This window comes from Homo sapiens, chromosome 16 (genome assembly GCF_000001405.40).
Source record: "Homo sapiens chromosome 16, GRCh38.p14 Primary Assembly".
Lineage (NCBI taxonomy): Eukaryota > Metazoa > Chordata > Mammalia > Primates > Hominidae > Homo > Homo sapiens.
Window position 1 is genome coordinate 81,429,465 of NC_000016.10, and position 25,437 is coordinate 81,454,901.

General features: G+C 51.3%; 1 protein-coding gene across 3 annotated transcripts in view, besides 12 other annotated features; it reads left to right on the forward strand.

The window, feature by feature from the left end:
• Positions 3,044 to 3,955: an enhancer, noted in NCBI's record as "H3K27ac-H3K4me1 hESC enhancer chr16:81466113-81467024 (GRCh37/hg19 assembly coordinates)". NCBI's record gives its function as "activates a minimal SCP1, AML or CMV promoter by ChIP-STARR-seq in naive H9 embryonic stem cells {active_cell/tissue: H9 hESC(naive)}" and the evidence as "EXISTENCE:reporter gene assay evidence [ECO:0000049][PMID:30033119]".
• Positions 3,588 to 3,837: an enhancer, noted in NCBI's record as "active region_11181". NCBI's record gives its function as "activates an Ori minimal core promoter by ATAC-STARR-seq in GM12878 lymphoblastoid cells {active_cell/tissue: GM12878}" and the evidence as "EXISTENCE:reporter gene assay evidence [ECO:0000049][PMID:35858748]".
• Positions 3,956 to 4,865: an enhancer, noted in NCBI's record as "H3K27ac-H3K4me1 hESC enhancer chr16:81467025-81467934 (GRCh37/hg19 assembly coordinates)". NCBI's record gives its function as "activates a minimal SCP1, AML or CMV promoter by ChIP-STARR-seq in naive and primed H9 embryonic stem cells {active_cell/tissue: H9 hESC(naive and primed)}" and the evidence as "EXISTENCE:reporter gene assay evidence [ECO:0000049][PMID:30033119]".
• Positions 14,185 to 14,717: an enhancer, noted in NCBI's record as "H3K27ac-H3K4me1 hESC enhancer chr16:81477254-81477786 (GRCh37/hg19 assembly coordinates)". NCBI's record gives its function as "activates a minimal SCP1, AML or CMV promoter by ChIP-STARR-seq in naive H9 embryonic stem cells {active_cell/tissue: H9 hESC(naive)}" and the evidence as "EXISTENCE:reporter gene assay evidence [ECO:0000049][PMID:30033119]".
• Positions 14,927 to 15,026: a silencer, noted in NCBI's record as "silent region_7756". NCBI's record gives its function as "represses an Ori minimal core promoter by ATAC-STARR-seq in GM12878 lymphoblastoid cells {active_cell/tissue: GM12878}" and the evidence as "EXISTENCE:reporter gene assay evidence [ECO:0000049][PMID:35858748]".
• Positions 15,137 to 15,486: a silencer, noted in NCBI's record as "silent region_7757". NCBI's record gives its function as "represses an Ori minimal core promoter by ATAC-STARR-seq in GM12878 lymphoblastoid cells {active_cell/tissue: GM12878}" and the evidence as "EXISTENCE:reporter gene assay evidence [ECO:0000049][PMID:35858748]".
• The window catches only part of CMIP (c-Maf inducing protein), a 266,955-nt gene continuing 256,861 nt past the window's right edge, over positions 15,344 to 25,437 (forward strand). For all 3 annotated transcript variants that reach the window (XM_047434717.1, NM_198390.3, XM_011523352.2), the window contains exon 1: positions 15,344 to 16,077. Coding sequence is in view for 2 of the 3 variants with exons in the window: in NM_198390.3 (NP_938204.2) it covers positions 15,778 to 16,077 (300 nt within the window). In the remaining variant the exon portion in view is untranslated. The remainder of the gene's footprint in view (positions 16,078 to 25,437) is intronic.
• Positions 15,557 to 15,606: a silencer, noted in NCBI's record as "silent region_7758". NCBI's record gives its function as "represses an Ori minimal core promoter by ATAC-STARR-seq in GM12878 lymphoblastoid cells {active_cell/tissue: GM12878}" and the evidence as "EXISTENCE:reporter gene assay evidence [ECO:0000049][PMID:35858748]".
• Positions 16,037 to 16,336: a silencer, noted in NCBI's record as "silent region_7759". NCBI's record gives its function as "represses an Ori minimal core promoter by ATAC-STARR-seq in GM12878 lymphoblastoid cells {active_cell/tissue: GM12878}" and the evidence as "EXISTENCE:reporter gene assay evidence [ECO:0000049][PMID:35858748]".
• Positions 16,882 to 17,647: an enhancer, noted in NCBI's record as "H3K27ac-H3K4me1 hESC enhancer chr16:81479951-81480716 (GRCh37/hg19 assembly coordinates)". NCBI's record gives its function as "activates a minimal SCP1, AML or CMV promoter by ChIP-STARR-seq in naive and primed H9 embryonic stem cells {active_cell/tissue: H9 hESC(naive and primed)}" and the evidence as "EXISTENCE:reporter gene assay evidence [ECO:0000049][PMID:30033119]".
• Positions 17,648 to 18,411: an enhancer, noted in NCBI's record as "H3K27ac-H3K4me1 hESC enhancer chr16:81480717-81481480 (GRCh37/hg19 assembly coordinates)". NCBI's record gives its function as "activates a minimal SCP1, AML or CMV promoter by ChIP-STARR-seq in primed H9 embryonic stem cells {active_cell/tissue: H9 hESC(primed)}" and the evidence as "EXISTENCE:reporter gene assay evidence [ECO:0000049][PMID:30033119]".
• Positions 19,178 to 19,941: an enhancer, noted in NCBI's record as "H3K27ac-H3K4me1 hESC enhancer chr16:81482247-81483010 (GRCh37/hg19 assembly coordinates)". NCBI's record gives its function as "activates a minimal SCP1, AML or CMV promoter by ChIP-STARR-seq in naive H9 embryonic stem cells {active_cell/tissue: H9 hESC(naive)}" and the evidence as "EXISTENCE:reporter gene assay evidence [ECO:0000049][PMID:30033119]".
• Positions 22,271 to 22,610: an enhancer, noted in NCBI's record as "active region_11182". NCBI's record gives its function as "activates an Ori minimal core promoter by ATAC-STARR-seq in GM12878 lymphoblastoid cells {active_cell/tissue: GM12878}" and the evidence as "EXISTENCE:reporter gene assay evidence [ECO:0000049][PMID:35858748]".

A 25,437-nucleotide genomic window follows, 5' to 3' on the forward strand; every position in this document is an offset into this window, starting at 1 on the left:
GGCAGATGGAACAGGAGGAAAATGAACCTCCCCAGGGACTTGTCACCACTAACTTAGATGATAAGCAGGCAGGTGAGAAATACACAGGCCTTTGGCAGGCTCCATCAGAGGCCAGAGGAAAAAAGGAGGAGATCAGTTGGGGGAGGTCTGAGCTGGGGGGCCAGGAATGCCGAACCTGGTTTTGCCATCTGTCACCCGTGTGGTCTTGGGGAAGGCTTCTTCTTCCCTTCTTTGAGCCTTAGTTCTCCCTACCTGCAAAAGAGACAGGGTGGGGCTGGTCGTAATGGCTCACGCCTGTAATCTCAGCACTTTGGGAGGCTGAAGCTGGTGGATCACGAGGTCAATAGATAGAGACCATGGTGGCCAACATGGTGAAACCCTGTCTCTACTAAAAATACAAAAATTAGCTGGGCATGGTGGTAGGTGCCTATCGTCCGAGCTATTCGGGAGGCTGAGGCAGGAGAATCACTTGAACCCGGGAGGCAGAGGTTGCAACGAGCTGAGATTATGCCACTGCAGTCTGGCCTGGTGACAGAGTGAGACTCTGTCTGAAAAAAAAAAAAATAGGGGTACCCCAGAAGACCCCTATAGATTTAAAATTTTTTTTTTTTTAGCCCTGGCAAGAAAAATGTTCTAGCTTGCTGATCTCTTCCTGGGGATAAGTAAGAGTGACATGGCTGCTAGAATTAGTATGTATTGATGGCCCCTTTAGCACTTCTCCTTTCAAAGAGGTAAATACCAAGTACAGACTCAAAGCTGCGAGTTGCCTCCGTGCTCAGGCTGCGCATGGTGGCTCACACCTATAATTCCAGCACTTTGGGAGGCTGAGGCAGGAGGATCTCTCTTTTTTTTTTTTTTTGAGATGGAGTCTAACTCTGTCGCCCAGGCTGGGGTTCCATGGCGTGATCTCTGCTCACTGCAACCTCCACCTCCTGGGTTCAAGCAATTCTCTTGCCTCAGCCTTCCAAGTAGCTGGGATTACAGGCACCCGCCACCATGCCCGGCTAGTTTTTTTTGTATTTTTAGTAGAGACGGGGTTTCACCATGTTGACCAGGCTGGTCTTGAACTCCTGATCTTGAGAAATCCACCTGCCTCGGCCTCCCAAATTGCTGGGATTATAGGCATGAGCCACCGGGCCCAGCAAGGAGCATCTCTTGAGCCCAGGAGTTCAAGACCAGCCTGAGCAACACAGTGAAGCCCCATCTCTACTAAAAAACAAAAAAAAATGTGAGAGAAACAAAAAATATTTTGTTTGTTAAACAAAAAATGTTAGAGAAACAAAAAACGTTTTGTTTATTAAACAAACAAAAAATGTTAGCCCAGTCTGTGCTGCAAGCCTATAGTCTCAGCTACTTGGGAGGCTGAGGCAGGAGGATTGCTTGAGGTTGGAAGGTTGAGGCTGCAGTGAGCTATGATCACACCATTGCACTCCAGCCAGGGCAAAAGAGCGAGACCCTGTCTCAAAAAAAAAAAAACAAAAACAAAAAACAAACAAACAAAAAAAAACAAAGGCCGGGCATCGTGGCTCACGCCTGTAATCCTAGCACTTTGGGAGGCCGAGGCAGGTGGATCACTTGAGCTCAGGAGTTCGAGACCAGCCTGGCCAACATGGTGAAACCCAGTCTCTACTAAAAATACAAAAGTTAGCCGGGTGTGGTGGTGCACCCCTGTAATCCCAGCTACTCGGGAGGCTGAGGCAGGAGAATTGCTTGAACCCGGGAGGCAGAGGCTGCTGTGAGCCAAGATGGTGCCACTGTGCTCCAGCCTGGGCAACAGAGCAAGAATCTGTTTCAAAAAAAAAAAAATCCTGCAAGTCACCAAATAATGGTATGAAATGAACACAGAATCTAATGTACACAGGCCTGGATTCCAGTCCCCTGTGGCCTTCAGGGTTGAGTCCACGATTGATTGGTGGTGTCTGTCATGGTCAAAGAAATGAGTCAGCTTTCCCACTTTCATACAGATCTAGGGTTTCTCAGCTGCAACTAACCTTTGAGAGAGATTTGCCTAGTTAACCCCTGAGTAAAATCTGCTTAAGATTTTTAGCCAAACAAAATAGAAAAAAATGAATAAAGAGAGAAGTAAACTACTTGCCTGAATCCCTGGCCCAGGACCCAGCCACCTGTCAACCACTGCTATTGTGAAACCACTCAGGCAGAGGGGACACTGTCCAGCTCAGATTCACGGGTCATTGTCATCCACGCTGAATGAAACTCATTAGTCCTTTGTGAGCTGTTCAGGTTTAATGCCTCTAAAATTGCCTGATGAAACTGGAGCGTGGTTGGGAAACAGACAATGGGCCGTCCGGCTGAACAAAGCTGTCCTAAGTGCTCAGCGCAAAGTCGAGTCAGGTCCCGCCCATGGCACCCGGAGTGGAGCCTCAGAAATCATGACTGCTCCCTGTGAATATTCTAGTGTGAGCTCGAGGACAGTAGGGCAGACTTGGGTCCATGCCTGTCCCAGATAAAACCGGGTGAGCGACGCCCTGGGGGCTGAATGGAGGCCCGGCGAGCAGGGTGTGCTTACGGAGAACCAGCCGGGCTGGGGGCAGAACACATGCACTGCTGTGGTGGGCTTTGGGCTCTGCTATGGATTGGATTGTGCGCTCCCAAAATACAAGTCCTAGCCCTCAGCATGTGACCTTTTTTGGAAATAAAGTTTTTGCAGATGTAATAAGTGAAGATGAGGTCATACTGGAGCAGGGTGGGCCCCGATCCGATGACTGTGTCCTTATAAAAAGGGGAAGTTTGGACACAGACACACAGGGAGAACGCCTTGAGCATGAAGGCAGAGATTGCGATGATGTGTCTGTCTACAAGCCAAGGAATGCCAAAGATCACCAGCAGAGAGAGGCATGGAACAGACACTTCCCCCACAGCCCGCAGAAGGAACCAGCCTGCCAACATCTTGATCTTGGACTTCTGGCCCCCAGAACTATGAGAAAATAAATTTCTTGTAGTTGTTTAAAGCCCCCTAGTTGGCGGCAGCTCCATGGAACTGATACAGAAACCTGGCTTTGAGGCCGTCTCTCTGGAAGACTTTGGGCAAATGACTTTCCTCTTTGAGCCTGGGGTTGGGAACCTGAGACTGGGGAGGCCTGGCTGTATAGAAATCACAGGCCATGCCGGGCGCGGTGGCTCACGCCTGTAATCCCAGCACTCTGGGAGGCCGAGGCAGGCGGATCACGAGGTCAGGAGATTGAGACCGTTCTGGCTAACACGGCGAAACCCCATCTCTACTAAAAAATACAAAAAAAAAAAAAATTAGCCAAGCATGGTGGCAGACGCCTGTAGTCCCAGCTACTAGGGAGGCTGAGGCAGAAGAATGGCGTGAACCTGGGAGGCCGGAGCTTGCAGTGAGCCAAGATCGCGCCACTGCACTCCAGCCTGGGTGACAGAGCGAGACTCTGTCTCAAAAAAAAAAAAAAAAAAAAAGAGATCACAGGCCCTTCAGACCCCTTATCCCGACATTTAGAGGTGGAAAACCAGCAGATGGTGACCACTTCACCCTGGGCAACTGGGCTGAAGTGGCCTATTGGGGCCCGGGGCCAGACACAGAAGCAGAGGCAGCCTGTCAGGAAGGCCAGGGGCTGGACAGGCTCACAGAGAGGGTAGGAAGAAACACAAGAGAGAGGAGGCTTTCCGATGATTCCGCGGTTCCTGCTCCCGTGAGGCCTGGTTATTCAGCTTTTGCGGGCCTCCCTTGTGTGAATTCCTTCCATCAATTACCTTCTTGAAGGTTTCACAGGGGCAATATTTTAACTGATCTCTTTCCCTGTCTTTGGAAGTGCTTTGAAAGCTGTAGTGCGAGATACACATTTTCTCAGCAACCACAAACGGTATCCAGCACCTGCTGTATGCAGATGCAGGGTAACAGCCTAGCAGCTGCGGATCTCGGCCCCAGGTGGTCACAGGCCAGTGGGAGTGTCCTGGGGCTGCACGAGACCCTGACATGCCCCGAGAACGTGGCAGTGCCTTCTCCCTCAACTCTGGGTCAAAATAAAAACAGGGAGATGGCCAGCAAAGTGCCCCTGTGTTCCGTTGTTGGCTGTTAAATGCTTTGGTGAAATGTCACATCTCAAATACTTCCCCTTCCTCATCTTTTTTTATTTTGAGAGACATGGGCTAACAGATGAATTGTAAAAAATATGACTGAGGCGGGTCGGGCACGGTGGCTCATGCCTGTAATCCCAGCACTTTAGGAGGCAGAGGCGGGCGGATCACGAGGTCAGGAGATCGAGACCATCCTGGCTAACACAGTGAAACCCCGTCTCTACTAAAAATACAAAAAAATTAGCCGGGCGTGTTGGCAGGCGCCTGTAGTCCCAGCTACTCGGGAGGCTGAGGCAGGAGACTGGCGCGAACCCGGGAGGCGGAGCTTGCAGTGAGCCGAGATCGCGCGCCACTGCACTCCAGCCTGGGTGACACAGAGCGAGACTCCATCTCAAAAAAAAAAAAAAAATATGACTGAGGCTAAAATAGGCAATATGGCATGGTGGCTGAGAGAGCAGGCCTGGTATCAGATTGGCCCAGTTCAAGTGTGATTTTGGGTCAGTCGTTTAACCTCTCTGTGCCTCAGTTTCCTCATCTGCACAACGGACAAGATAAACTTCATCAAGTTTTTGTAAGGATTAATTTAAATGATTAATTAAGTTAATCATTTTGTAGGATTAAATACATGTAAGGTGCTTACTAAAGTGGCTGGCCCATGGTGAGCCCTATATGGGTCTTAGCTATTATTATTATTATTATTTATTATTATTATTTTTTGAGACAGTGTTTCGCTCTTGTTGCCCAGGCTGGAGTGCAGTGGCATGATTACGGCTCACTGCAACCTCCACCTCCTGGGTTCAAGCAATTCTCCTGCCTCAGCCTCCTGAGTAGCTGGAATTACAGGCATGTGCCACCACACCCGGCTAATTTTTGTATTTTTAGTAGTGACGGGGGTTTCATCATGTTGGCCAGGCTGGTCTCAAACTCCTGGTCTCAGGTGATCCGCCCACCTCAGCCTCCCTAAGTGCTGGGATTACAGACGTGAGCCACCACGCCCGGCCATTATTATTATTATTATTATTATTATTATTATTTTGAGACGGAGTCTCGCTCTGTCGCCCAAGCTGGAGTGCAGTGGCGTGATCTCCGCTCACTGCAAGCTCTGCCTCCCGGATTCACGTCCTTGTCCTGCCTCAGCCTCCTGAGTAGCTGGGACTACAGGCGCCTGCCACCACGCCTGGCTAATTTTTTGTAATTTTAGTAGAGACGGGGTTTCACCGTGTTAGCCAGGATGGTCTCGATCTCCTGACCTTGTGATCCACCTGCCTCAGCCTCCCAAAGTGCTGGGATTACAGGCGTGAGTCACCGCGTCCGGCCACCCGGCCATTATTATTATTAATAGGAGGAAGAAATGCCCTGCCCAGTTCGCAATGACCCACTTGACTGTCCTTTTCACCTGTAGGGGTTGATCACCAGCAACCACATTTGTCCAGGTTGGCTCAGATACTGACTGGGGTGCGTATCTGGCCCAAGCCAAGTCCTTCCCTCAGAACTGGGCTCAACAGATCCTAGCTCAATCTGGGATGCCCTCTCCAATGGCCACCTCCTGTCATGCAAAAGTAACATAGCAAATTAAGTCAGCCTAACCCAGAGATAAACAGAAACATAAAGTACAGAGAAGGTCCGTGGGTCCTTGGATCTTTGGCCCCTTTTGGGCTGGCTACCTTCACACCACTGGGGCCCTGGGAGGCACCCGTGACTCCTAACAACCCATGTCTATTCTTTGTTTAATCCACTCTGATTAGTTACTATTGCAACAGAGGCATCTGGAGGCTTTGGCCTGCCTTCTTCTCTCTTCTTTGCATCTGTGAGGCTCTGCTCCCTGGAGCTACAAGAAAATATCCACTCCTTTTTCCTCAGCCCAGGCAGGCTGGAGTCAGTTCCAACTTCATGCTGTAGCTCAAGAAAGGAGCCCAAGGGTTGAGAAGCCATTTCTCCCTACCATTATATTGAGAACTGACTTCTTCCGACATCTTGTCCTGAGCACCTTCATGCATTATCTGCTTAGCTCAATTGTATCACAATTCAATCTCCATTTCACAGATAGGAGTCTGAGGTTCAGAGAGATTAAGAGATTTGGTTGGCGGAACCCAGCTGAAGATGATGGAAACCTGGGCTTCAAATCTAAGGTCTGTCTTCTTGATGTCTTTGCTTTTCTACCTGGAGTCCCTGGATGGAGTTTCTTGCACCACCCCCAACCCCCCGCTGTTGCTGTGGGGTTTTAGTTGAACCCTTGACCTTGCCTCAGCTTCCTAATCTGCAAAATGGGGTGATATCATCACCCATCCTTATCTGAGGATTGTCTAGACTGACCCATGCAAATGGGGGTGTGGGTGAGTTTTGGAAGATCAGTACCTGCTCCACAAGTCTAAACCACTTCTCCTCCCCAATTCCTTCCTTTCATTGCTTCTTGGCAACTGACTTAGAGATGATGGAGAGGAAAGAAAGGCAATCACATTTAAATTGGTCAATTTGAGCAGCCTCACTGCTAAAACTGGTGTGGGAGACAGATGTAATTAATCTGAAAAACACAGTGGATTGTTGTTGTTGTGGTTGTTGTTGTTGTTTTGAGACAGGATCTTGCTCTGTCGCCTGGGCTGCAGTGCGGTGATGCGATCTCGGATCACTGCAACCTCTGCCTCCTGGGTTCCAGCGATTCTTATACCTCAGCCTCCTGAGTAGCTGGGATTTCAGGCGTGTGTGACCATGCCTGGCTAATTTTTTTTATTTTTAGTAGAGATGGGGTCTCCCTATGTTGCCCAGGCTGGTCTCAAACTCCTGGACACAAGTGATCATCTCACCTTGGTCTCCCAAAGTACTGGGATTATAGGCATGAGCCACTGTGCCCAGCCCCACAGGTTTTTTATTTTTAAAAATATGATCCATGGCCTTCCACTCTGTGTAGCCATGCCCCACGTTCACGAGTCAATGGCAGCCTGGCATTTGAGCTCTTCATAAAGTCTCTGTGAGTTTCTTTAAAAATAAATGGCATTAAAAAAATTAAAATGAATTGAAAACAAAACTTACTCATAAGAGGAATATCTGTGTCATGGATATATTAGTCAGCAACAAAACAGAACAGACAACGATACAAACACCAACGTGGACAAATCTCAAATCCTTCTATACCGAGCCAAAGAATTCAGAAGAAAAGGAATGCATACTTTTTGGTATTATGTATATGACATTCGATAAAGGGTGAAACTATCTACAGTGACAGAGGGCAGATCAAGGATTGCCTGGGGCTGGCAGTGGGTGACTGGGATCAACTATAAAGGAGCAGGAAGGTATTTTTTGAGTCTGTGGGAAAGTTCCAGGTCCATGTCTTGATTGAGGTGATGGTCACATGTGTGTATATATGTGTCAAAACTTGTCAATCTATTCTTTTAAAATGGGTTCTTTTTTTGGGGGTAGAGATGGGGTCTCACTATATTGCCCAGGCTGGTCATGAACTCGTGGGCTCCAGCAATCTTCCTGCCTCAGCCTCCCAAAGTACTAGGATTACAGGCATGAGCCACTGTGTCTGGCCAAATGGGTGCAGCTTATTACATGCAAAGTATACTCCAGTAACGTTGATTTGGCTGGGTGTGGTAGGCTCACACCTATAATCTCAGCACTTTGGGAGGCTCAGGTGGGAGGACTGCTTGAGTCTAGGAGTTTGGGTACAACCAGGATAACATATCGAGGCCCTGTTTCTATGAAAACACAAATAAAAAATAAAAAATTAGCCAGGTGTGGTGGTGTGCCCCTGTGGTCCCAGCTACTTGGGAGGCTGAGGTGGGAGGATTGCTTGGGCCCAGGAGGTAGAGGCTGAAGTGAGCCATGATCGCACCACTGCAGACAGAGTTTTGCTATATCACTAGCCTGGGCAATAGAGTAAGACTGTTTCAAAAAAGTCCCCCAAAACCAAACCAAACAAAAATAACATTGATTTCGAAAGGAAAAGAGGCTGGGCGCAGTGGCTTACATCTGTAATCCTAGCAGTTTGGGAGACTGAGGCGGGTAGATCATTTGAGGTCAGGAGTTTGAGACCAGTCTGGCCAACACGGTGAAACCTCATCTCTACTAAAAATACAAAAACTAGCTGGATGTGGTGGTGGGTGTCTGTAATCCCAGCTATTGGGGAGGCTGAGGCAGGAGAATCGCTTGAACCTGGGAGGTGGAGGTTGCAGTGAGTTGAGATCACGTCACTGCACTCCAGCCTGGGCAACAGAGTGAGACTCTGTCTCTAAATAAATAAATAGGACAAAGGGTTGCCCATAATCCCATCTCTCTGGAGATAACCACTATTGTTTTGGTGTATGTAGGAAAAGCGATCAATCAATCGATTGTAAGAAATATTAGTTCTAGGAAAGCACTGAGTCCTCTGTAGTACTTTCTCAGCGATTCCAGACTTATTTATTTGGTGACAGTGAGAAGGGAAGGGGGAGAGGCTGGCACTTCACGTTCCCTTGTTGCCCTCCCTCGTCTCCTGTAAGCAGAGAGGGTGGGGAGCTATCATTCGGCTCCCCAGCATCACAGGCGGCTGAACATGAATCAGCTTCCCCTCTCCTCCCTTCCCACTGCTGGAGCTAGAGAATGGGCTGGCTTCACATCAGCCCAGAAGAGGAAGGAGGATGTTCACCAACTTCACAAAACACGACTCCTCTTTTTACACCGGGAGAATGAGCACATTTTATTATTTGATCAGCACATTAAACGCCATCAGTACGGAGTGTCTGTTCCCTTACGCTAGTACCTGATTCCTGTTATAAATGAGGTTCAGGAATGCTCTCCTGGCTGATGTAATTTTGAGACAGAGTTTTCAGATGGAACTTCCAAAGAATCCCCCAAAAGCAACAGCGTCATGGGTAGATACAAAATTGGGATTGCTTAAGAACAATTTTTTGCCTGCTTTTGGTTCCTGACATTTTATTACACACACGGCCTCACGCCATTAAACGGACTCCAAAACCACGACTTAATACAAGTTGCATCTCATTCCATTGTATGGGGCCCTATGTTCCTTGACGGTCTGATAAAGTTGGCTAGAAGCCAGTTTGTTACTAGACCCCATAAGTGGCATCTGAGGAGGAACGTGTCAGGGCACGAGTGTGAACAATATGATCTCCTGAGACTGTGACCCACAGGATGACTGATGAGGAGGTGGCTGACACCACAGCATCCTCTGCCAGCTGAGAGGGAGAAATAAACATCTTCCTTGAAACCAGGGGTGATTTTGCCTCCTAGGTGACAAAGGCGGGCGCGGTGGCTCACGCCTGTAATCCCAGCACTTTGGGAGGCCAAGGTGGGCGGATCATGAGGTCAGGAGATCAAGACCGTTCTGGCTAACACAGTGAAACCCCGTCTCTACTAAAAAATACAAAAAAAAAAAAAAAAAAAAAAAGTAGCCGGGAGTGGCGGTGGACGCCTGTAGTCCCAGCTACAAGGTCCAGAGAAATTTTTGGTTGTTATGACTTGCGGATGCTCCTAGCATCCAACAGGTAGAGGCCAGGGATGCTGCAGAACATCTCAGACTGCACAGGACAGCTGCCTGCCACAAAGTGTCATCCATCCCAAATGTGAATAGAGCCCAAGTTGGAAACCCTGCTTCCAATCCTGCAGAGATGCTGTGTCTAGAGTGTCTATACCCAGTTGCTGGGCGAATGGGAAAGATTCAGAGAGGTGGTCTGGATGGAAGGCCCGTTGCCACGGTCATGCCAATACGGGTTCTAAAATAACGGTGGTAATGTGAAATAGCTAACACTATTGTGAGTGCTTACTCTGGGCTCGGCTTGATCATCTCACTGAATTTCTGCGACCTGGGAGGAAGGTACTATGACGACTCCACTTGACGGTAAATCAATCAAAGACACATACAGCTGGTAAGCAAAAGAGCAGAGAGTTTGTTTTTTTCTTGGTATACTTTTTTGGGGGGCGGTTGTGATGATTTTTTGTGAGGGCGTCTGGCTTTCCCACATGACTGTGAGCTCCCATGAGGACAACATCATATGTGTGATGGAGCTGCAGTATCCGGCAAAGTCCCTGCCACTCAATTCGGTGCTAATAAACAGGTGTTTAATGGAATCAAATAAAAGAAGGAATGAAGCAGGGTAATGTAGCTCAGGAGTTAGGACACTGGCGTCTCAGCTAGATCCAGCCATTCAACAGATAATCATGGTGCATTTACTTTGTGACATGCCCTGGAGAAACAAGCAGCGGTGTCCTGAAGCCGATCTGTAATGGCTCATGACAGCTGATTGTTAATTTTTCAGAAATTTTGCAAGCTGGTTGTCAAACAGCCAGTAAAAAAAATTAAGTTATGTAAAGTTACAAGTAAATAATATTTTTAAAAGGTAATACAACTCATCACTTCCTAATTATTTTACTACATTTTGCCGGTATCTCTCTTCTTGAAGTTATTTATGTCGATTGTAGCGGTCGCCAAACTTTTTCTGTAAAGGGGCCAGAGAGTGAATATTTTAGGCTTTGCAGTCCATGGCTGAATCTGGCCCCTTGCTGGTGTATTGTATCTGTGTGGTGGAAACTCTGCCGTGGGGTGCATGTCTTCCTAACTCCATGTCCAAGGACACATGTTGGTAGCTTGTATAATAATTGGCCATGGTGGTTGTATTTGCACCAGGGAAATTGTCAAACTTTATAGATCAGGCTTTCCTTTTTTCAGCAGGCTGACTATTGAACACGACCCTGGATACAGTGGTGAGCAAAACCAGAATGAACCCTGCCCGCTTGGAGGGTACAGTGCAGTGCATTGGGGTTTGTGCACCATTTCATGGTGGGGTGGGGCAAGGAGAGAGAGCTGTGCAGAGGCTGGAGTGGATCTCCACTGGAGACTGCTGGTTGTTAAACAGCCAGTTAAAAAAAAGATTAAGTTATGTAAAGTTACAATTAAATGAATAATATTTTTTAAAAGGTAATACAACTCATCGTTTCCTAATTATTTTAGTACATTTTGCCGGTATCTCTCTTCTTGAAGTTATTTATGTCTATTGTAAGGGTTGCCAAACTTTTTCTGAAAAGGGGCCAGAGAGTGAATATTTTAGGCTTTGGAGTCCATGGGCTGAATCTGGCCCCTTGACTATAGTTGCTGACCCCCCATGACAATAGTTGCTGAGCTCCCATGAGGGCAGCATTTTGTGTGCTATGGATCTGTAGTACCCAACACCGTCCCCGGCCCTCAAATAGGTGCTAATAAACAGATGTTTAATGGAATCAAATAAAAGAAAATGAATGAAGCAGTGTCACGTAGCTCAGGGGTGAGGACATTGACATCGCAGCGAGATCCAGCCATTCAACCGAAAATCACTATGCATTTACTTTGCCCGCTTCATTCATTCTTTCTTTTATTTAATTCCGTTAAACACCTGTTTATTAGCACCTATTTGAGGGCTGGGGACGGTGCTGGGTGCTACAGATCCATAGCACATAAAATGCTGCCCTCATGGGAGCAGGGGGAACATCCACTTACAGGTGTGGCTGCTGGAAGGCGCCTCAGCTCAACCTCTCCTAGGCTGCCCCTCAGCTCCACTGCTCTCCTCCCCAACAGGTACTTTGCCACCTCATCAAATTCCTTAATGGCAGCCTGGGTAGCGGGTGTGTCTTTCCCTTCTGAGTTAGCTACAGGGGACACCTCAGAGAACTCGAGTTGAGACTGTGCCCATGAAGGCACTTTACTGTTCAGTTTGGCATCCCAGCTCCTAGCATTGAGTTGATCGAGTGGGTCCTCCACCAGTGTGGCCCGGGGTGACCCCACAGTGGGCTGTTGAACGAAAGCGGTAGTTCAGGTGAGGGCACACGTCATCCTTTGGAACCTGGCTCAAACAAGGAGACACCGCCAGCAAAGAATGCAGAAAATGACAGGTTTGTCTGGTGAACTGGCCTCTGGTTAGTGAACGAGCCTGCGAGAGCCCAAGGGGAGTGAAGGGTGCGTGAACCGCCGTGCCCTTCCTGCTACTCCGTAAGCTTCTCAAGTTCAGTGTTGGAAGGGGAGGCTCTTAGGGGCTCGGACCATTCTTTGGAGGGTCTGGAGTTCCAGGGCATTGAGCACAACTCGGGGACATGGTCCATCCACGGGAGCTCGACGGGCTCATGTTTCCTATAATTTGGGGAGCTCCAGGGATGGGGCTCTGATGGAATCTGATGGCTGGATTCAGATTCCTTTCTAGGTTGGGAGCCTGGGATAGTGGAAGGTGGAGGGGCTCTGCAATGAGTTAGCCAAATCCCAGTCTAGGAGGCTGTGGACTCAACTGTCACACTGTCACAGACTGAGTACTAACGCCATCCCAGCTCATCCCCCGCAACTTACTGACCCAGTCCTGTGGCTGGACCTTTGCTAAGCACCAAGGAGTATGTTTTTGACAATCAATCCCTGTGTATTTGCTGCACCCCAGCTTTGTCCAGGCACTGAGCTAGTGCTGTTGCCAGACAGGCGCTTCTGGCTTCTGCCCTCAGGAACTTTCTTTGCCGTGTCTTGGGGGCTCCATTTCACTGATTTGAAACTATATTCAAGAAATACTGCTATTTAAAGAGGACACTGATTGAATTCAATACTTTCTTCCTGAATGCCTGCTCAGGACAACATTACAAAGACAGACATTTGTAATGTCCTCCTAAATTCCCAGAGGAGTGGGAAGCACATGGAATTTGAGGTCGAACAGAATCTGAGGTTCAAACCTCGGCTGGATCCTGATAGTTGTCTGACCCTGTCTGAGCCTCAACTTCCTCACTTAAGATGGGGATGGTAATAGTTCCTACCTCCTAGGCTGGTGGGGAGGAATAAACGAGAACAAATACATAAGGCCTCCAGCATGGTATCTGGTGCTTGGGTACCGGTCATTATTATCACGGTATGTCCTACTTAATGTTTACAAATCAACCACTGTACTGGGCTGCATGGAGGATGTCTGGAATGGTCCTGGAATATATCAGGGATTTGCATCCTGCTAAATCTCCTCCTTCTACTGGAGTTTTGTGCCCTGTATGGGTAGGGGCGTGTCCACAGATGTCCCCGAAGTGGACAGCAGCTGCTTTGCTTGCCACTGGGCCACTCCACCCAGTGACTTTGTGCTAGCCCTTGTTGCTTCCTTCTGTGGGGGGTAGGTGAGCATGAAAGTCTCCTCACTGGCCTCCTTGCCTCTAGGTTTCTCCTCTGCAATGCTCATCTGTGCCACACTGCAGCCTTTTGAAGAAGCCATGTACAAGTCACTCCTTTGCATGGCCCATGTGGTGTCTCCCCACTGCTCTAGTCCCTGGGTTTGCATTTCAGGGTGCTGCTTGCTCACCGCCTACATCTCTGCTCCACCTCCTCCAGGGACCTTGCACCCCATGGCAAGTGAGTTCAGTTTCCTGAACAAGCTGAGCATCCTCCCATCTCTTTGCCTTGGTAGGAGCCAGTTCGTCTTCTTGGAGCACCTATCCCCTTCTTTACTTGATTCCTAAAGAACTCTTAGAGTACCCTGGTCCCCCACACTGGGTTAGACATCCCCCTTTCTGTTCCTGGAGCACCAAGCACAATGTCTGTTACTGTTCTGGACTCTGACCTCCATGCTTTGTGGTTGAGGATGAGGACAGCACCTATGTCATAGGGTGTGAGAAGAGAATGATGTGTGCGTACAAAATTCTTAGCACATAGGAAGCCTCTGGCCACTGTGGTTATTATAGTCATTACCATTAATACCCTAGTGCCTGGCCTGTGACCAGCATACAGCAGGAGCTCAATGAAAATATTTGAACAAAGGATCTAATCCCACCCGCTTAATGGACTGGGGGGTTTCTTGGCCCCAACCACCCCCCAACACCCACATATCTAGGGCTTGCCCCTTCATGCTTGGTGGTTTTCTCAAGGCTGTTCAAGCTCAAAACTGGAAGGAAATGGCAGCAAATTGTGGGGAGCTAAGGAATTTCTAACTTTCTAATCTAATTGTGCCTCCCCAAGGAGGCATCTCCTGGGCAGGCTGGATGTGAGTCTTCTTTCCTTGGTGAGGGATGCAGCCTGGGACCTGCCTTTCATCCCCTGCCTGAAACCCTGGCCAGGCTCGGGGAGAGGGTCCTCTGGGGAGCACCTTCATGCTGCCTGTTCTTGGGAGAGGGGGGGTGAATAATTTCCACCAACGGCACAGATGCTGTGGATATTCCGCAGTGTTCACGACGCAGTTCAACACACGCTGCACACATTCATGTGTTCACTACAGAGGCGCCTTCACTTAAAAAGGCAAAAATCTAGGGTTTTAACGTTATTAGCTGCAGGAGCACGTGGAGATAAGAAAACCTGGCTGAGGAGCTGAGCATTTGCTAGGTGGCCTTAGGTGCCGGCTGCTTGTGATGGCAGAAAGGGAGCTTTTTGCATCCAGGCTGCAGTTCCTGATACCCTGGGTCACAAGAGAATCGAATATGGTTCTCTCGTGGGCTGGTGCTGGGCCTGTGAACTCAGATAAAATGACCAGGTGGGGTCCCAGGGAAGGTGAAGTAGGGGGAGCTGCTGGGGTGCGCACAAGAGGGGTGGCTGTGTAGGTTGGGGGGTGCTTTAAGTGGGTTCCTAGAAGAGGCTCTGTCTCCCTGGGCAGAAGAAAGAAGGGGGATGGGCGGACCGTCCCCTCTCTCCAGAAGGTTTGAGGACCCCCAAGGCCAAAGCCAGCAGACGTCAAAGGCCAGGAGTTCGAGGCCGGCTGGGTCCCGCAGTGGGAGACAGGGCAGGGTGGGCTCATCCTCCGGATCACCGCGGGGACACTTTCAGTCGGGAAGGCGTCCCCGTCCCACGGCCCCATCTGGCCAGCCCGCTGGACAGCCTGGACAGCGGAGGGGGCGTCAGGGGTCGAGGGTTCCAGTCCCCGTCCTTCCACCCAGCCCCCGGCCCTCGGGTATCCTTCTTTACCCGTCCGAGTCCGGCCCGGGGGCGGCGGGGGTGGGTGAGGCGCGGGCCCCCAGGCTCCGGCAGCCTGGCTGGGCTCCCGCCCGGGCACCCGCGGGGGCGCGGCTGGCGTGACGTCACGCGCCCCGCCCCCGCGCCCCGCCCCCTCCCCACATTCCAGGCGGGGCGGGCCGGGACCCCGCGGGGCTCGCCCGCCCCAGCCCCCTCCCCAGGGGCTGCCCCTCCCGTCGGGCCGCGCCTCCCCGTCGTGGGCCGCGACCCCGCCCGGACCGCGGACTCCGCCCGCGAGAGGCCGAAGCCGCCGCGGCCGCCGCCGTTGCCGCCATTGACGTCAGAGGGGCGGGCACATGACCCTGCGGGGACCAATCGCGCGGGCGCCCCGGGCTCCGGGAGCCCGGCGCGCGGCCCGCCCCGCCCGCGGCCACTCTCGCCCGGACGGCCGCGCGGACACACGCTCTGTACACACGCGCGCGGCGGCGCGGGGCCCCGAGACACGCCCGCCCCCACCCCGCCGCCCCCACCCCGGCGCCCGCCCTCCGCGCCTGGCCCCGGCCCGCCCTCGGCCTCCCCCGCCCCTCCCCGTCGCCCGCCGAGCCCGGTCAGCCGCCGCGAGCATGCACCCGACGAGCTAGGAGGAAGCCCGGAGCCCCGCAGGAAGCGCCGAGGCCGGCCCAGCCCGCCGCACGCGCCGCCCCCCGCGGGCAGCGCCCCCTCCCCTGCGGGCGCCCCCAGCCCCACACCCCCCCACCTTCCCGGGGGGTGGGGGGGTGCGGGCCGCCGGATCCGGGGGCCCCGCCGCCCCAGCAGCCCAGGACAGCCCCCTCTCCCCGCCCCCAGCCCCCTCCCCCGGCGCGGCCATGGATGTGACCAGCAGCTCGGGCGGCGGCGGCGACCCCCGGCAGATCGAGGAGACCAAGCCGCTGCTGGGGGGCGACGTGTCGGCCCCCGAAGGCACGAAGATGGGCGCCGTGCCCTGCCGCCGGGCTCTTCTGCTTTGCAACGGGATGAGGTACAAACTGCTGCAGGAGGGCGACATTCAGGTCTGTGTCATCCGGCACCCGCGGACCTTTCTCAGCAAGATCCTCACCTCGAAATTCCTGAGGCGCTGGGAGCCGCACCACCTAACGCTGGCCGACAACAGCCTGGCGTCCGCCACGGTGAGTGGCTCTGCGCGGCTGCACCCCCGCCTCTCCTCGGGGCCCGAGATGCGCCCTCCCTGGCTGCCCCCTGGCGCTGCACCTGGAGCCCAGGGCCTGGGGGGCGGTGGGGGGTGCCGGGGGAACGGGGAGAACCAGGGCGCCTCGCTCCTGGCCTGCTCGCGGGGCTCGATTTTGGAGTCTGAAGCCCAAACCAGCCGACCGGGCTCAGGAGAGACCCTTAAAATGCTGGAGACTCGGCCCACCGCCAGGCTGGGTGCCTGGGGACCTTCTGCCCCCAGCTCTTGTGTTTCTGGTGGCTGGGACTCGAGGATGGACCCGACGCTGGGCCCTGATGGTGGTGGGGGTTCTCTCTGGAAGCCCCTGGCCCATCTGGATCTGAGGGGTGGGGGAGGGGAAAACAAAATACCACCCCTCAGATTTAAAAAAAAAAACAAACAACACAACAAAACCTCCAAACCCCCAAACCCAAAGAATTTCCAGAAGCCAGTTTCTCTGTTTGGTTTACCCGTCCTTTATTCTCTTTCCTGCCAGGGCTGGCAGGCAGAACGGGGTGCTTCCCTTTCTGAAAATCTCATTCGCACATTGAGAGGTTGGAAGTGGAGGGGGAGGGGGCAGTGGTCCTGGAATATCTCAGGACCCAGCGGTGGTCGAGTTCTAGCCTAGAAGCTGCTTGGTGGAGCCCTGGTCCGGCATTGTCTGTAGAGTGTGTGTATACGTGTGTGTTTTGTTGCTGGAGGTTTAATTTTGTTATTGTTTTTAAATACATGGGTAGGACTGGGTCAGCTGGATGAGTCGGAGAGGAAAAACCATTGATCTGTTTCTGAAATCAGATCTGCAAATGGTGGCCTTCTTCGTACGTGGAGAAAGACAGCTGTGGTGGGGTCGAGGGGAGAGTGGGGGTGGCGGGTAGGAGCCTGAACAGGATGCTTTGTGTTTTGAAACAAGGACAGTTTCAAATACCGGCTGTGGCTTGGGCCTGAGGCTTGCCGTGGGGGTCCCATCCTCATTGGGGGTGTAGCTTGTCTTCCCCAGAATGCACACTCCTCCCTGGGGCCACCGTGATCCTGTTTACTAAGCGCAGTGGGAGGGGGCCGAATCCACTGCCTGCCCACACCTGTGCCAAGAAAACCCAGCCAGGAAATAGGGTGTCGCTTACATGGCATGTCACAAACGTGTAGCGTGTGTAGACATTTCCCTGGCATCCATGTTCCCTTGGCGGTGTGTCACAGGCCATGACACATGCCCCAAGGAATGGGGAGGGGGGAAAAGTTAGCTGAAGAATCCTACTCTTTGAACCAGTCCCCCACCCCCCACCCCAGAGCGTTGCAGCCCTCGAGGACTTTTATTCTTAATTTGGGGTCCGACATGCTTAGAGCACCTATTTTCTCTTTCCTGTGGGCACGTTGGTGCAATATCTGCAAAGACTCCTTTTTCAGGGAGGATTGCTGGTCGCGGGGAGGCGGCCCAGTCCCCGGTCAGGCTGGTGCATGTTCTCAAGCCCGTCCCGCGCCACAGGCCGCAGCATTTGGCTTTCCAATGGATGGAGGCGGGAGAGAGCCTCCGAAAATTTGCCAGTACGGAGTGTTTCTGATGTGGGGAGGAACTGGTGACCGCGGTGCCCCCTGCCTGGATTCTGGAGACCCCAGATCTGGCTTCAGAATTTTCACCTGGCTCAGGGGGACTTTATTGGGCTTTTTTTTTTTTTTTCCTCTTACACTCCACAAAATGAAGGGTTGTTGGTGGTGGGGTAGGAAAATGGTTAGAAGGAACAGTGACCTGCCATGGGAAGGCCAGGAGGAGCCCCTTCTCCCTCTGGGAGAAGCCAGGAGTGAGTGTCCCGCTGCTACCGTCCTGTTTCCGGAAAGCCAGCTCTCGAGGCTAATGCCTCCCCACTTACCTCCGATTGCTCAGGAGGTATATCTGAGAGAAAGAGGGAAGGAAGAAAGACCTGAATAGCCAGAGGCCCCTCGCTCACCTTGGCCAGCCCAGGTAGGTGGCACCATCGGTAGTGTGGGCCTTTCCGGAAAGCACCTGTCTAGTACTGGGGACTGAGGCTTATCCATGGAGCAAGATTCTCTTGGCAGAGCCATGCTCTGGTGTTAGGAAATGTGGCAAGAGGAACTATAAGGAAGTGTTTGATGGACTGGCATAATCCCCTTTCCGCTGCCTTTCGTCACCAAGCACTACAGGCAGGGGGTGTCCTTAAGTCTTACCCTTGCCCTCTGGTGGGCTCCAGGGGGCCTTGCCTCAGGGCCTGTGAGCCTGGAGGTGGGGCTGTGAGGGCTGGCCTGGCTGGAGCGCTGGCCTCCCGGGTAGAGGTGAGGTTGGGACTGCCACCAGGGCTCTCGTCCCATCATGAGACACCTGGTTGGTGTCCAGGCTCTCGGGGAAGCAGCGGAGCCCCTGTGGGGTTTCCCTGAGGCCTGGACATTATGTAATCTGTCTGCGTTTTATAGTGCGGCCCAAGCACTCTATTGAGAAATATGAGCCCAAATAAAACAAAGGTGAATTTGAGTGCAGTTCCCTAGAACAAAAACCCTTTGCAGTCCTGTGGCTTCGCAGCAGCCGCTGGCCCAGCCCTGAGCTCCCGATATTCCAAGTATGTTTCCTATAGAGTCATATCCTTACTTGAAATATCAGTCATCCATATTTTAAGCCATCTACACAGCCCAACTCAGAATCATCTGGTAATTATCTGGTTAATTGTATGGGCTTCAGGAACAAGACCCAGAGTGATTGATAGGGATTCAAACCAATAAACAAGCCAAATACTCTTTTTTGCCCAAACCTTTTGCAGTCTGTTTCCATTGATCCAATTAACCGAATCTGAGAGATTTAAGACCGTGCTTCCAGGAGCACATCTGCATCAGGCTGGGATGCAGGCAGACTCGGGCTCCCAGTCCCACCTGCTGGGTGACACCGGCTAGGTACACCTTTTAGTCTGGGGTCCAAGGGACCTGATAGCCCTCCAGGCTGTCTTACCGGTGGAGCCAGCAGCCTCACCCGCCTGGCCTGCCTGTAAACTTTGCCTCCTGTGGGATCAGGTCGCAGCTTGCCCTGCCCTGGTCTCCTGGGCCAGTTACTGATTAAATCCTTGCAGAGCCAACAGCGTGCCTAATGTGGCTTGTGACGGCCGCCAGGTCTGATGCACCCTGTGCTTGGAGACTTTGGATCCGAAATGCTCGTAAACAAAGGAGGAAGCAGATAGGCGACAGCTGACTTGGGAGGGGAGATAGGGAGGCCAGGGCCCCCTCCCTTGGGGACCCAGGACTGCACCTTTGTGGGGAAGGGCCTGTCTGCCCAGGCTGTGGCCTGAATGTGGTGCCCCATTCCCTCTTTGTACCCAAACTTCCCAGTTCCTGGGCCTCACTGGCTCTTCATGGCTGGTGATGGTCGTGTTGGTTGTAAATGACAGCCAGGGCAGCCAGGGGTTCTGCATAAGCGGCCGGGTTCGGCAGGACCAGAATCCATTTTGCTGCTCTCGTCTGTGGGTTGAATTTGATCACCTGCTAGGCATGTTTGTCCGTGGGCAGAGGGCTTTGTCTGTAGGCTTTGTTTCTTCTGCACCACAGAAGTACAAATAAGCTGCCTACCTTTTATTTCATCTTACTTTTAAGAGAATGTGGCACACGGTATTTCAGAATGGTGGATCCACTCAGAAAGTCCTTTATTCAGGGGTCGGGGCACAGGTGACAGTAGTGTTCTTTATTCTCAAGCCATAATTCATCAGTGGCTTGTTTTTAAATTTTCACCACTCTGCTGTTTGATTGCAATGTTTCTGGGCATCTTGATATGGATGGGAAAGGAGAAGCCACCTTCATTCTCATTGGTTTCTTTAGTCTGGTGTTTTCTGAACTTGGACTTTGTTTAGCACAGGCTTACTGCATGCCTACTGTGTGTCACTTGCTGAGCTAAGAGTTACACATCCACATGGCTTGGTTTCTACCTAAGAATTAAAATCTATGTCCTCCAGGGTAGTCACAGATCCCACGAGAACTCATCTGTGCCCACATGCACGCATGTTAATTGCTTTTTCACTTTTGTTACATACCCCCCTTCCCCCCATGTGCCTAGCCTGCCTTTAATTTATTTGATGTTTTTTTGTGGCAGTAAACACACAGATTTCCCCCCCCCCCTTTCCATGCCATTTGTCATAGGAGGATTTTGGAGTGTATCAAAATTGTTTCCTAGACAACTTGTCTGATTGGAGGTGGTGGAGGGGAGGGGCTGAGACAGAGAGGAGAAAAAGTCAAAATTCTCTGTAAATTGCAAACGTGGTCTGCCTTTCCCAGGCTGTAATAAGTAAGTGCATTTTAAGGAAGGAGTAAGTTTTGATGCTCGCATTTGCCTGGTGCAATCTGAGATGCCTGTTCCGGCCACGGCAACATCATGCCAGTCCAGGTGGAAGGAATTTCACTGCATGTGGCTGAGCTTTCCTGCAAGTGGGTGACAGAGGTGGCAGTTGCTGCTGGCTTGGGCTGCTTGGCCCACAGATTGACTGATGTGGCGGCCCTGCCTGCTCCTTAGTGTCTCATCGGGCAGTGAGAGGGCATTTCTGGGGCACTGTCCTGGGCAGGGCTCAGGGGGACCTGGTAGAAGGCAAAGCTGTCCCAGGGTACCTCAACTGCTGCCAGCCAGGACTGACTCGTCTTGAAGGTACCCAATTGGTGTTTTGTTGGCATGGACATTGCAGGGGGTCAGCTTACACCTTTGATTAAAGGAATACATGAGATTAGGTGAGGCAGCCTGATATGGGGCATCTCCTCTGTGGGGGAGAACAGATTTGGGTTTTGCGTTCTCATGGCGCTGGATCTGGATTTGAAGGGTGCAGTTTCCTGGCTGTGTGACTTTTGGTGCTTTGCTTTCCCTTGCTGGGCCTTGTTTTTCCTCCATCCTTAGGGAGAGCACCTCATGTCTAGGGTTGCTGTAAGGATTGGAGAGGATAGATAAGCACCTACTAGTATAGTCAGCATACAGTGACCAGGATTCCAATTCCTGTTTTGCTAATTGCCCTGAAAGAGCTTCATGACTTTCTGCACAAATGGAAGGGATTATTGTTACCTAAAAATGGGTGGCCTCCAGAGAGTTCCCTGAGATGAATAGTGCATTGGGGAAAGCTAGGGGTGTTTAGCAGGTCTCATAGGTAGGAAGGCAATGAAATTCTTGCCAGCAGTTTAAGAAAAATTCCTTGCGGGGCGTAGTCTAGTTTCTTAAAATAAATTACAAAAATTGAAATACTCATGTATGCATCAGGTAGATTTGATTAGTATAACAAGGTGTTTAATGAAAAATGAAGCTTCCCTTACTCGACGTCCACACAGCCCCTAGTGGCCCTCCTTGGAGGCAAGCACTGCTGCTCATTTCTTGTGTATCTGGACATGCATGCACACAGCTGTCTACCGTGGTTCTTCACTGGACAGTATATTTTGGAGACCCTCCATGCGTGTGCAGCTGCCTTGTTCTTTTTCATTGCTGCATAGTGTTCTGTTGTAGAAGTGTATCACAGTAATGTAGGTAGACCCTCCCCTGTTGATGGGCATTGAGGTTAGTCCCAGCCTCTTTGATATGGTTTGGATGTGTTCCCACTTAAATCTCATCTTGAGTTGTAGCTCCCATAATTCCCTTGTGTTGTGGGAGGGACCCAGTGGGAGATAATTGACTCATGGGGCGCTTTCCCCCATACTGTTCTCTTGGTAGTGAATAAGTCTCACGAGATCTGATGGTTTTATAAGGGGAAACCCGTTTCGCCTAGCTCTTTCATTCTCCTCTTGTCTGCCACCATGTAAGACGTGCCTTTCACCTTCCACCATGGTTGTAAGTTCCCCCCAGCCACGTGGAACTGTGAGTCCATTAAACCTCTGTCTTTTGTAAATTGCCCAGTCTCAGGTATGTCTTTATCAGCAGCGTGGGAACGGACTAATACACTCTTGTTCCTTGAAAGAAAACATTTTCTATTTTTACTGAATGGAGTTGTCTCTATTTTGATGTTCTTTTGCTTAATTCTTTGGGATGGGGGAGCTGAGCCTCCTTTTGAAGAGGGAAGGGCAGTGTTTCCTGGGGTTATTGCTACCTGGAGTCATGCTTTGTTCTGGCTGAAAGGTCACCAACCAGGGATCCCCCTCAGAGGGTCTGGCCACTTGGTCTTCCCTGCAGCTGAAGGAACATAGGTGACCAGGGGGCTCTGACAAGGATGCGCTGACTTCCACCCACAGAACAAGGGTCTGTGCAGCTCCACCTGAGGGCATTGCTTTTTGTTCCCTGACTTCCTGCTTTCCCCAGGATGGAAGCCAGGCCACCCAGCCCCATGGTGGAGGAAGAGAGGAAGTGAGAGTTTCTCTTCCTTGCTCCTGGCTCTGGTGATGAACCACCCAGTGTATTCAACAGGCACCGAGGGAGACTGTGCGCATTTTGAAAGGAAGCTTCGCTTACATCAGCAGAGCCCTAACCGAAGGGTGATGAGACGTGCGTGTGGGGGAGGTGTTTGCTGTGTGTATTGAGGCAAAGGAGATGGCAGAGAAAATATTTCTGGTGCTGAAATTGGTTCCTGACTTCAGTAGCCATTTCGTTACCCCTCCCATGTGCACAGCGCTCGTCCTGGCATTTGGGGTGTGCAGTGAGGCCACAGGAAGAGAACACGGCAGACCCAGTGGAGTAGGGGAGTGAGGACCTGGACTTTGAAATCAGACAGGGGAGCTTGAATCCTGCCTCTGCAGTGTCCCAGGTGGTGACCTTGGGCAGGTCCCCTAGCCTGTGTCCTTATCTGTAAAGCGAGGATCAGAGAAACTTCCTCTTAGCATTGATGTCAGGGTAAATGAGGTGAGGCCTGGCGGTGCTTTCATGCCTCCATTCAGCAGTTAAGTGTCACCGTTCTAGGCACTCGGAAGAAAACAGGAGCCTGCCCTCGTGGAGCCTGTGTTGGTGGGAGTGGACAAACAACTAAGTTAAGAGCAAGTAATTATAAAATCCGATGACAGGGATCGTGGAGAAAAGCAAGCAGGGTGGGGCGAGTGGTGGGCTGCTTTGTACATAGTGGTCAGGGAAGCGGGTGATAGGACTTCCAGGGGGAAGAGCGTTCCAGGTAGAGGGAACAGCAATTGCAAAGGCCCTGAGGGAGGAGATCATCTGTGGAAATCACCCAGTAAAGTGGCTTGCACCTGGTACATGTTCTATGATTGTCAGTTTCCTTCCTCCTGCTCTGTGGAGCTGTTATTATCTGTTTAAAAAATTAATGAGTATGTAGAATGTGCGAGGTGATGGACACACAGGCAGCTCCTTGCCCCGTAAAGCTTCCATTCTTTTGCTTCTGTTGTGTGTTTTTTCTTTTGTTTTTTTTTTGTTTTGTTTTTTTTTTTTTTTTTTTGCAAACCTGGCTGCCTCCCAATAAATAGTGAAGAATAGCCCTGGTAGCAGTGCCTTAAGAGATTCTTAAATGACAAAGCCCAGCAGAACTTTGAAAACGCAACTCCCTTTGTCCATAACTACACTCTAAGGATCCTAGGATCTAGAACACACTAGTGCTCTGATTCACCTCTGGTTTTGCCAGCGAGGAAGGGGTGAGGGGAAGTGTGTCGGCAAAGACCCTTGCAGCTGGCTCAGCAGCCCACCTGGGATTCAAACCCAGACTCCTGCCTTCCCATGGCATCCTTTGTTCGTGGCTCTACTGCTTTCAAGCTACTGTCAGAAATGGTAGGGTGGACGGAGCGACTAAACTGATTGTGCTGGGCGAACTCTTTTTGGAGGGAAGCACGTGGTCTGGATCGTCTGGTCCCTGGTGGATATAGGATTTGAGTGTATGGAATCAAACAGCCATCTGGGTGCTTCCCTTGGGCTGGGCTGGCTGCATCCAGCTCAGGTGGGGTCATATGGAGAAGGAAGATCACACCGGGACTGCTGCTAGCTTCTCTGGGTGTCCTGGGCCAGTGCCAGTTTCCTTAGAGGTCCAGGATATCTGAAAATTGGAGCACACAGTCTGAGCAGACCCAGGCCTGGCTCTCCTCCCTCGCATGTTGGCTCCCTGTGTGGACTAGGTGACCCTGTTTACCAACACACACACCGGTGCGAGGCTCTGCAGGGAAGGAGAGCCACGGGTATGGAAGGGGCTGTGTGTTCCCCAGGCAGGCTAGCTGCCGTAACACGCAGCCCTGGCATCTGGGTGGCTTCATGCAGCCCAGTTCTTGCAGTCCTGCAGGGGTCTCCCGAGGGTTCTGCCCCCTCTTTTTCTTGTGAAATGGGTCTGCCCTCCCCTAGGTCCTTCATTGTCAGGGGGATGGGGAAAGAGTGAGCACCACAGCCAAGCCGTTTGTAGATCTGGCCGCTTGGTTGGCTAGAACTCAGACACACGGCCACACGGAGTGCAGGGGAAGACTTGGGAACATGGTTTACATGTGCGTCTGGGAGGAAGAGGAGAGCATGGAAGCGATGACTACTCCCACCCCAGCATCCTTGGGATGCAGCAGCAGATCTTGAGGTCTCCAGGGTGCCAAGAGCAGAGCTGCTTCCCTAGAAAGGAAATTCACATGACCGTGATCTCATCTGGTTCCTGGGTTTGAGGTTGGGGGCATTTCGGCCAAGCTTGCAGTCTTCTCTGGTGGGGAATAAAGTAGGGTGAGCAAATCCGTTGTAAGAGATGGACCTATATGTTCCTGGTTGCAACGATATTTATCGTATCCCTACTGTGTGCCGGGCACAGTGCTCATTTAATTTTCACAACAATCCTGTGGGGTAGGTGTTTATTCCCATTTTACAGATGCTCTAATGGAGTCTCAGATAAAGAGAGCTGGGAGGAAGTAGAGTTTAGTGTCAAAGCCAGGTCTGACCCCGTGTCTGTGTGGGTCCATCAATGTATATGCACCTGGTAGATGCACATGAAACTATTTCAGCCTCCTGCAGAAACATCTTAGGTAGAAATAAGTGAGCTTTTCAGTTTAGTGTTTGCCAAGGTTGGCGGACATTCCTTTGTGATTTTGTCAAAAAAGTTAAGGGAACCGATGTGGGAAATTGAATGCCAGCTATTCGTAAAGGGTAAGCATTAGGTGTATAACTTGAACACCATATATTATTTGTGCAAATTGAGTGTTCTGGGGCACTGTTCTTGCATAGTGAGTGCTCTCAGGCATGGCACTTGGAAAGTCAGACATACTCTTCCCTCCCAAGGGACTCATAGTTAAATGGGGGTATTACAATTATGATACACCATTGAACAAAGCACATTGCTTAGAGAGGTTTATGTCTTGTCCTGTGTTTGGACGGAGGAAGAGACGCCATCATGGGGGTGGGGAGTTTCAGGAAGGACTTCTTTGTAGGAGACAGGCATCTGGATGGAGAGGTAGGATGGAGACTGATGGAGATGAGGGTGGC